General features: G+C 52.1%; 4 annotated features.

The window, feature by feature from the left end:
* Positions 1,063 to 1,477: a silencer, noted in NCBI's record as "fragment chr1:109781947-109782361 (GRCh37/hg19 assembly coordinates)". NCBI's record gives its function as "represses an EF-1alpha promoter that drives an FKBP-Casp9 reporter gene in an ReSE screen in HepG2 liver carcinoma cells {active_cell/tissue: HepG2}" and the evidence as "EXISTENCE:reporter gene assay evidence [ECO:0000049][PMID:32094911]".
* Positions 1,879 to 2,574: an enhancer, noted in NCBI's record as "H3K27ac-H3K4me1 hESC enhancer chr1:109782763-109783458 (GRCh37/hg19 assembly coordinates)". NCBI's record gives its function as "activates a minimal SCP1, AML or CMV promoter by ChIP-STARR-seq in naive H9 embryonic stem cells {active_cell/tissue: H9 hESC(naive)}" and the evidence as "EXISTENCE:reporter gene assay evidence [ECO:0000049][PMID:30033119]".
* Positions 2,585 to 2,879: a silencer, noted in NCBI's record as "tiled region #12007; HepG2 Repressive non-DNase unmatched - State 18:Pol2". NCBI's record gives its function as "represses a minimal TATA promoter and a strong SV40 promoter by Sharpr-MPRA in HepG2 cells {active_cell/tissue: HepG2}" and the evidence as "EXISTENCE:reporter gene assay evidence [ECO:0000049][PMID:27701403]".
* Positions 4,233 to 4,732: an enhancer, noted in NCBI's record as "H3K4me1 hESC enhancer chr1:109785117-109785616 (GRCh37/hg19 assembly coordinates)". NCBI's record gives its function as "activates a minimal SCP1, AML or CMV promoter by ChIP-STARR-seq in primed H9 embryonic stem cells {active_cell/tissue: H9 hESC(primed)}" and the evidence as "EXISTENCE:reporter gene assay evidence [ECO:0000049][PMID:30033119]".

Consider the following 10,376-nt stretch of genomic DNA (forward strand, 5'->3'; position numbering starts at 1 on the left):
GGGAGGGGTACACTTAGAAAAAGCTCAAGGGGAAGGTGGAAGATGGAGTCTGAATCACAAAAGCTTGCAGGGCAAGGGCCAGGATCCTCCTTTACAAATATATTCCTGCTTGAAATCATTGAGGTAGGACTAGCTTAGAGACCAGAACTGTTTTAAAAGCCTCTTAGCACTTCTGTTCCCTACAAAGGACTCTGTGGAAAGCGAGAGGCTGTATTTAATCCAGAAGAGCCCCTAGCTTCTATGCCTAGCATGGGTTGGGGACTTATTAACAGCAGTTTCTCTCGTTACAGCCATCCCCACATGGGGAGACCAACTGCATACCAACTTGCTGCTGCACCTCCAAAGGATTGGGATAGCCAGCAGGGCAGAGGAGAGGAGAAAATGTTGTAGCCCCTTTGTGGAGCTCCCACTGTTGCCCTAATAGCCAGTTCCTTTCTCAGGGGAGGCTGATGTTCAGGCTGTTTATTTACCTGCTGCCTTTCATCTGCAATCTACAAACCCTTTACTTTAATAACAGCTTCTGTTAGTTTAGTGCCTCTCTCCTAGGAGGTTAAAATACTCCCTATAGATGATCTCTTTTATCTTTGTGATGGTCCCAGAAGGTAGGGTGGGGACATGATTATATGATTATGCTTATTCCATCCTTTGGAAGACAGAAATACAAGGACGGTAAGGGAGATGAGACAACGTGGCCTGATGGAGGTCGGAAGTCCTGACTCCTCGGCAGTGCTTTATGTTTCTTTGGGAGGTTGAGAGCTGGAATGTGAACTGGGCTGTCACTTAGGAGCCTTTATCTCACCTCAGCTTCCTTAGTCCCTGAGCAGCGACTTGGGCCTGCTGGAGCATAGTACCAAGGAAAGGGGCCATGTGCTCCATTTTCCACTGGGGGCTTGAGATTGATCCTATTAATCTTGCTGCTGGAAACCCTGTCAAAACTGAGGTAGGTGCGTGAAGGGGTGACAGTGGCTCTCTTGTCTTGCCTGGCTATGCCAGCTGGGGGCCCACAGGCAGACCCGCCTGGGCCGTAGCCCATTGCCCCAGCTCTGGGATAACAAAGCCGGGACAAGGGGACAAAGAGCAAGCTGCTCCCATTTGTAATTCAGAAGGACCAGAAACTCACATTTCCTGTGGCCTCAACTATTTGGTTTGAAGAAAGGCAGCGTACACAGTGTGCAGGAGGCTAGTTTTGCCCCACCCCCTATACCATTCCAGAAGCCCACTGGGAACTCTCACAGGGCCCTGAACGCCCCTGCTCTGCCTTAGCTCTGTCTTAGAAGTCCCTACAGCTGCCTGCACCACTCCCCACGCCTACCTGCTTAGGCTCCTGGTGCCTGTCACCTTCCTACCAGTAGGAGGCTCTGCTTTTTGCCATGGCCCTGAGAGCTCTGTGGGAGGGCAGAAGCTGGGGCTTTGAGTCCCTGAGGACCCAGCTGACTTACCTGCTGGAGCTGGCTGCCTGGACTCTCAGCTGCTTTGTGCAGAGAGACCCTCCTGCCTTGGGCAGCCCAGCTTTCCCTGCCAGCCTTCCTCCTGCCCGTGTAGGGACTGGTGTAGGAGCCTGGCTAGGAAGATGGCTGTATGGACAAACTGGCTTGTTAGCAGAAAGTAACTATAAGGGACCCCATGCTTCCAGAAGCCAGAGGAGAGGAAGTCAATGGTAGTGAAGGCAAGGATGACTGTGGCTGAGGTCCCTCCCCACAGGTCATACCCAAGAGCACAACAGCAGGAGGGCACACACGGTCACCGAGTGCTTACCTTGTGCCAGGCACCATTAGGAGCAGGGTTTACAGAAAGAAGGTAACACAGTTCCTGCTCACAAATAACTGTTGGGAAAGGTGTGGTTCGCCTTCCTTCAGAGAGGGAAAACCAGACACTCTCCCTCCCTGAGGCAGTGGGATGGGGCTGATGCAAGCTTCATTTAGGAGGGGCCGACCCACCTGGAAGCCGAGCAGTTGGGAACAGGCCCAATAGCCTTGACTCCACCCTGGTAGTTGCCTCCGCATCCCACGCCTGATGCCCTCATCTCTGGCACCTTGACCTGCCCCATCTCCAACCTCAGCTACCCAGGTTACCTCAGTTAGCAAACACCCTCCAGAGGCCTAGTGGAGTGAGTCAGAGCCCTGGGTCCCTCACCAACCCTGGGTTCCCACACCCAGGTATTCAGGGCCCAAGATGCAGGTCTGGGTGCTTTAGGCAGGGAGTGAGGAAACACTGGGACCAACAGTCTGGCCTCTCCACCAAGAGAGACAACCATAAGCCAGACTTCTAGAAACTCTAAAGAGGCTGGTAACTGGGGACCCAACGTAAGGCCGAGGGACCTGCCTGCGCTCACAGTCCAGGCTGGGCAGGGCAGCTCATTAGCCAAACACTGAAACCTCACTCCTGGGAACCAACATTCTCCTAGCCGTCTGTCCTGCTTTTCCTCCCCTGAAGCTTTTCCGGTTTACCCCAGGTCCTGAGAATGCCTCCTCTCCCCGAGTCCCCATCCTTCCCCAGGGGGTACGCGGCGGGGGCGGCCCTGGCTGCACTCCCAGGATGAGTCTGACAGGCAGAGCTGGGATGGGCGCCAGACAAATGTACTGCGTGTCGGAGCCTGTGCCGGGATGAGGGGCCTGCCCCGCTCTCCCAGTTACCTCCCAACATGGGGTTCCCCAGCAGCTCTTCCCAGGTACAAAAGGGGAGTGCTTCCTTGCAGCCTGGACTTGGCCAGGTCCTGGTGGGGCTGATGCCTCGGCCTCTGACATTGCCCTTTTAAGAGCCCTCTCCGGCGGGGCCAACCTGTAATCCCAGCGCTTTGGGAGGCCTAGGAGGGCGGATCGCCTGAGGTCAGGAGTTCGAGACCAGCCTGGTTAACATGGTGAAACTCTGATTCTACTAAAAATACCAAAAATTAGGCGAGCATGGTGGTGCGCACCTGTAATCCCAGCTACTCAGGAGGCTGAGGCAGGAGGATCGCTTGAACCCAGGAGGCATAGGTTGCAGTGAGCCGAGATTGTGCCACTGCACTCCAGCCTGGGTGACAGAGTGAGACTCTGTCTCAAAAAAATAAAAATTAAAAAAGCCCTCCCCATGGGGGTGGGGTGGGGGTGCTGCAGGCAGGTTCATGTTGCAGAAACCCAGCAATGTGCAGCTCCCCATCCATCTGCCAGGAAAGAAGCCCTGAACTCCAGGTCTTTACCTCTCTGGGACCTTCCGGCGGAGGTAGGGTGTCCCAGCCACCTCCGAGAGAACCTCTTGTTACGGAGGGGCGGGTCCTCTTCTGCTGCTCTGACTGGCTGGTTCACAAGCCCTGCATTTTGGAGATTGGTCCCTGTCCCTCCATGGGACTTGGTTCCCTTCCCCCTACACAAACCTGCTGTCAAAATGGTCTGGGAGTTTATTTTCATTGGGGTGTAAATTGCTGATAAGACGGTGTGACCTTCTGGGACAAGTGGTTTTTAAACCTGAAGAAATTGAAGAATTAAGCTCCCATTTGGAATACGCTTCATCCTTGCCTCCTTCCATCTTGTCTCAGAGAAAACCTTTTTTTTTTTTTTACTCCTTCTCCAAAACCAGGTCTTATCTACTTGTGCCCTGGAACTCGCCACCATCCTGCTTCCCCTGAGTCCTTGTTCTTGAGCTAGCTCTCTGCTGAACCTCCCGCCCCACTTCCCCTCAGTCCCGACCTGCTAACATATTCCCCATCTGAAAACAGCCATCCTGCACTCCTGCCGCTCCTGTCAAATTGCGATCCCATCTGGCTCCTCTCCCTCAAAGATGAATGAACAGTGGACACTTGCAGGCTCTGTTACCTCATTAACATTCCTGGCCCTCCTTCACCCCATTCCCCTCAGAGGGAAGGTGAACTGTTCCAGAGGGAACTGCACGAGGGGACAGGAAGAAGGCCTGAATGGCTGAAGCATGAAGTAAGGGCGATACTGACTGGAGGCTGGAGATGTGGGCAGGGTCAGGAGATGGCACCTGACCCTAATGCTGGCCTCCACCTCCGCTTTCCCTGCTGCTCTGTGACCTCCACATGCAGGGCTCTCAAATCCATTCTCTCTCATCTGAGCATCTCCACCCACCCCCAGCATACACATTGGGCATCTCCTCTTAGTATTCAGGCACCCCAACACACACCTGAGACTCACCCTGGACAACTCCCTCCTCTTCATCTCCAGGGGCCAGTCTGTTTCGCAGCGCCATTGAGTCTTCATCACTCAGGTCTGCCCCCTTGACAGCCTGCTCCCTGGCCCCAGCACAGCCCTCCTCCTCCTGGACTATTACAGCGGCCTCCTTGCTAGTCTGCTGGACCTCAGTCCCTTCTTCCGGCGCAGCCTCCTCACTGTGCCAGATTAGCCTGCCAGATGGCACAGCCATGATCATTCCTCCCCTGCCAAAACACTTCAGATGGTTCCCCTCAACTTATAAGGTCCAGACTTCTCAGCTGGAGCCCCAGCTCATCAAAATGTGCCCCCAGTTCAGATTAGCGGCTCTCTGCTCCTTATTCTCACCGCCCCCTTGTTTCCTCCTGTTTCCTGGCACTGACCGTGTGTTGCACCTCTCCACGCTTGCTCACACTGTTCCCCCTGCCTGGATGCCTTTTCCTCCTGCCTATTAGTGGAATTCTTCCTTCCTCTTCAAGATAGCTCAAATGCCACTTTCTTTTTTTTTTTTTTTTTTTGAGATGGAGTTTCACTCTTGTTGCCCAGCCTGGAGTGCAATGGTGCGATCTCGGCTCACCGCAGCCTCCGCCTCCTGGGTTCAAGCGATTCTCCTGCCTCAGCCTCCCAAGTAGCTGAGATTACAGGCATACGCCATCACACCTGGCTAATTTTATATTTTTAGCAGAGACGGGGTTTCTCCATGTTGGTCAGGCTGGTCTCAAACTTCCGACCTCAGGCGATCCGCCCATCTAGGCCTCCCAAAGTGCTGGGATTATAGGCACGAGCCACTGTGCCCGGCCAAATGCCACCTTCTTTAAAAAGCCCTCCCTAACTCCTCCACCCCCACACAAAAATATTAGTGACTATTGCTCTGTGACAGCTTTTGTCTCTGTCCAAGGGACTGGCTGTCCCTTGGGGACATAGCTCATCTGTGTACCTCTCACACTTAGCCACCTACCACCGTGGCTGGAGCATGGCTCTGGCCAGACAGGGCCTCCTTCCTTGGCCTGCTCTGACAGCCTGAACAGCCACGTTATTCAGAGGGTGCTTAGGGATTTGCCGCTCGAAGCTCAGCCCCAGGTTCCATCTCTTCCTGCCCGGTGGTCAGAGGCAGTATTTTCAGCTGGATCTTAGATGGCTTTACATCTTTATGGAATGCTGGGCCTATTAAGCCACCCTTGACAAAGAACACTGGCACTGTGGGTGGAACCTATCACTAGGATAAAGCATCCAATATCATCTTTTAACAAGCGCCAAAGAAGGTCTATCTCACAGGGCTGGGACATCAAAACCTCTACCCCTGGCTGCAGCAGGCATGGGGAATGCAGTTTTGTGGTTAAAGTGAATGAGTTCAGGGCTGCCCTTAAAACAGCCTAGAGACCCAACTGGCCTACCAGATGGTGGCTCCAGGCATAAAGGGACATGTGGTCACCCCTCTCTTCCATCCATCCATCCATCCTCCATTCATGTATTCATTTTATCTTTTATCTTTTTTTTTTTTTAAGACAGTCTTGTTCTGTCACCCAGGCTGGAGTGCAGTGGAATGATCTCGGTTCACTGCAACCTCTGCCTCCTGGGTTCAAGTGATTCTCACGTCTCAGCCTCCCAAGTAGCTGGGATTATAGGCGCATGCCACCACGGCCAGCTACTTTCTGTATTTTTTGTAGAGACAGAGTTTTGCCATGTTGGCCAGGCTGGTCTCAAACTCCTGACCTCAAGTGATTCACCTGCCTTGGCCTTCCAATTTGCTGGGATTACAGGCATGAGCCACCATGCCTGGCCCATGTATTCATTTTTTGACCAATATTTTCCACGTGCCTACTGTGTGTGTCAGGCCTGTGCTAGGTGCTAGGTGATAGGCATTCAAGACATATGTGTTCTCGCTGGTCCTGGAGCTCACTGCCAGTGGGTAAGACTGATGTTAGCCAAGTGAATACTCTAATTACAAGTTGTCATATGTGCCAGGAAAGTGGGGGCATTTAAGACTGCCATGTTCAACAGCTGGAAGGAAGCCAGCATGTCCAGAACAGAGTGAAAGGGGAGGAGTGAGAAGAGGCTGGGCCACTCCACACTGGACTTTGTGGATAAATATAAGGACGCTGGATTTTATTCAAGGTACAACAGAGGCCCACGGCAGGGTTTTCAGAAGGGGAATGACATGCTCAGATCTAAGGCCGTGCAATAGTACCCTGTGAAGGATACCATTAGGTATCCTTTAATCAGATAAATGCAGAATGTGGCACTTCAATAAGAAAACTGGACTCTTCAGTCGATGTCAACAAAAAAGGAAAGAGAGAGAGAGAGAGAGAAAAAAAAAAAAAAAAGAGTGACATATGACCAAATGTAATCCACGAACTTGAAAGCAGCAGCTGTCTAAGACCTTTGGGAGACAGTAAGGAATTTGGATTGGACTGGATATTAGATGATACCAGGAATTCCCCTTCATGTTCCTGGTCGAAGCAGCAGTCCTGTGGGTGTGCAAGAAAGGGAAGAAGGGGAGGCACTTGGAAAATATTGGTCAAAAAATAAATACCTGAAATGAGGAAGGAAGGATGGATGGATGGATGGATGGATGGATGGATTGATGACTGGATGGATGGCAGAGAGGGCTGACCAGATGTCTCTTTATACCTGGAGCCACCATCTGGTAGCCCAGCTGGGTCTCTAGGCTACTCTAAGGGCAGCTCTAAACTCATTCACTTTACCCACAAAACTGCATTCCTGGCCAGGCACAGTGGCTCACACCTGTAATCCCAGTACTTTGGGATGCCGAGGCGGGCGGATCACAAGGTCAAGGGTTTGAGACCAGCCTGGCCAACATAGTGAAACCCCATCTCTACTAAAAATACAAAAAATAGCCGAGCATGGTGGTGCATGCCTGTAATCCCAGCTACTTGGGAGGCTGGGCAGGAGAATCACTTGAACCCGAGAGGCAGAGGTTGTGGTGAGCCGAGATTGTGCCACTGCACTCCAGCCTGGGCAACAGAGCAAGACTCCGTCTCAAAAAAAATTAAAAAAAAAAAATACTGCATTCCCTGACTCTCAGGAGCTGCCTGCGGAGGGGCCCAGGGCTCAGGCACCTCATTTTCCTCTCATTCTTCAAAAATTGAGAGACATAAAGCAGAGTGTCAACAATTATTGAATCCAGACACCAGGCACAGTGGCTCACATATGTAATCCCACTTGAGACCAGGATTTGAGATCAGCCTGTGCAACACAGCAAGACCCCCTCTCAAAAAAAAAAAAAAAAAAAAAAAAAAAGCTGGGCATGGGTGGCCTGCACCTGTAGTCCCAGCTAGCTACTCAGGAGGCTGAGGTGGGAGGATCACTTGGGGCTGTTCTCAAGCAGTCAAGGCTGCAGTGAGCTATGATCACACCATTGCACTCCAGCCTGGGCAACACAGTGAGACCCTGTCTGAAAAAAATAAAATAAAAATTGTTGAATCTAGCAGGAGAATATCTGGGTATTTATTATACCATTACACCATTCTTTTGATTTTTCTGAAGGCTTGAAATTTTCCCAAATAAAAAACTGGGGGAGATTTTTTAAACCTAAAAATGTTTATTAGTTTAAAAAAAAATTACTTTCACTGCCGAGCAGAGACTGGTTTGGAGGGGAGGTGACCACATGAAGAATCCATAAAATCCTGACTGAGTATCCCCCTCTGTGACAGACCTGAAGTGGGGAACTGAGAAACAACAGAGCCCCCACAAGGAGTGCACCTTCCAGCCTTGAAGAAAGTGGGGAACAGTGGGCGGGGCACGACAGGCAAGTGTAGACCGAAGGGTGTTCAGATTTCTGGCCACCCCCATCCCCCAGTCTGCTGGCTCCTGGTTCCTTCACGCCACCCACCCCACAGTCCAGGAGCTCCAGGAGTCACCCATGGCCAGGTTCTCTCCTTCTGGTTTCTGTGCCCTTTCTAAAGCAGCACAGAGCCCAGAAATGGGATCGGGTGCCAGGGCCTCTTTCTCTTTCCAGAGAAACTGCCCTGCCCACCCACAAAAGGTCACCATGACCGATCCCATCAGCAGCCTCCCTCCCCACCCCTCCTTCCCAGCAGGCCATTGGTTCCAGAATTTCAGGCCACAGGGATCTGCCCAAGGCAGAGCTCACCTTGTTCTTCCTCACCAGCGTGCTAGGCCACAGCAGAGCCACCCCAATCTTCAGCTCCAGCCAAGCTGATGCTTGCATTTCATTCATTCCTTTCATTCATTCATAGTGTACTGCTTAAGAGAGTGGGCTCTGGGGTCAGATTGCCGGGGTCCAAATCCTAGCTCTTCCATTACTAGCTGTATAATCATGGAGAAGACACTTAATGTGTAGATTAAGTGACTTAACTGATGAATTCCTCTTCCAGGAATGCTGTTCCTGATTCTTGAAGATGCAGCCCAAGTCCCGTCTCCTCTAGAGGCCCTCTGGGATTTCCTCCACCCTCACTGCTCTGTCCTCTGAATTCCTTTAGCCTTTTCTCTCAGTTGCTTCTGGAGCACTTCACCCATGCGACCCTGTTGTGTTGAAAGCCAGGGCCATGCCTTATCCAGGGGGTCCTCAGGAAGCAACCTGAGTAAGGAAATCCCACCAGAGCTAAAGGACAGCCGCAAGGCTAGCCAAGCAGGTTTCCTTCCTTCCCAGAGCCTCCACTGTGAAGTGGGAGGTTTGGACTAGAAGAACAATAAATTCTCTTTTAACAGACCCCAAGCCCTTGCTGCCCCTTGATAGCACCTAAAAGCTATGCAGAAGGGAGGCCTAAATGTCCCTTACACACAGGAGGGAGGTCCATAGGTTCCTTACAACTGGAAAGCTCCATGAAGCAGGCAGCCCTTCCCTGGGGATCAGGGAGGCCTCCACCAGGGCAACCCCTCCCTCATTTGAGACTCTCAGTGATGCATATGAAACTTGGAAATTTCCCTCCTGCTTTTGGGAGTTGGAAGTATCTGAGGAAGTGATGGGGAGAGAGCTCTGTCCTGTGCCCCCGGAGGGAGGACTGGGGAGGATTAAGGACTATTTGCCAAATGTGCTTGGGGATGAAGGAAAGGGTTCCTTGGATCCCCCAACCTATCTGCCTTTGGGTGGAAAGGCCACCCACCTGGAAGGGGCTTCTGAGCTCATGCCTTCCCTGGCAACCCCTGCCTCAAGGTGCAAGGCCCCAGAACCACCTTCCGTGATCCAGAGCCAGGGCTACTCTTTCCTCCCACCCAGAAAGCTTATTTTAGCAACAAAGGGAGCGAGATGAATGGAGAGTTGCAGCTTCTCCACGGGTTGGCTTGGGCCTTCACCAGAAATGAGAGTCTCATTACCCAACCCCAATTCAAAGGATAATTAACAGATGGTATAATTTCCAAGCATTCTCTGCACCACATGGCTATTAGGTGAAGAACAAAATGCCCACGCAGCCCCTAGATCCTTCCAAACTCCAGAGTCTGAGGAAGTCTAGAGAGGCAGAGCCCTGCGGAGGCGTGTAACCCACGCCTCCATCTCCAGAGCTGCCCTTGGCCTTGCTCAGAGGAAGAAAGCTCCTGTTTGGTCAAAGGGGAGGGCATTTCCTTGAGCCATGGGTCCTCCTCCTACTTCTATCCATCCTGCCAGGAGCACAGTCTAACCCTAATCTTTCTTGCTGTACCCAAGGCCCATCTCCTTTCCTGTTTCCCCAGGGGAAAAGAGAAAAGCTGATTTCTCATCCTTGGCCTCACTGTGTGGTCACACAGACACTCCTTGGGCCTGGGGCTGGGGGATCCTCTGCTGTGACCCAGTGAGAGTGGCACCACTGTGACCGGGGGCAGTGGTAGAAGGGAGCACCTGATCCAGTGCTTTTCAGATGGGTTCCTCCAGACCCTCAAGTTGCACAGAGCAGCCCAGGGATTTCTTGGTTGGGGGAGTGGTGGAGAGGGGCAAGGCCCTGACCCCCTCACTTCAACCCAGCAGCACTACTCATCTGTTCTATATTCTGGCCTTCCACTTCAGATTTCTTTTGAAGAAAAGAATTCTACTGCTAAATAAACATTTGAGAACCATTCACCTTATTCAATCCCCTCATTTTACAAAAAGGGACATTGAGGCACAGAATTTGAGCAAGGTCACATAGCTGTGGTGTTGGAGGCTGGGACCCAGGCCCAGGCATCCCCCCAGGCCAGGGCATCCCCCCAGGGACTACCTGACTGGGCCCCTGGCTGCTCCAGGATGTAGGGAAGCCTTTTCTGGGTCGCCTGCACGGCTCCTGCCTGGCTCTCCGT

This window comes from Homo sapiens, chromosome 1, assembly GCF_000001405.40.
Source record: "Homo sapiens chromosome 1, GRCh38.p14 Primary Assembly".
NCBI lineage: Eukaryota > Metazoa > Chordata > Mammalia > Primates > Hominidae > Homo > Homo sapiens.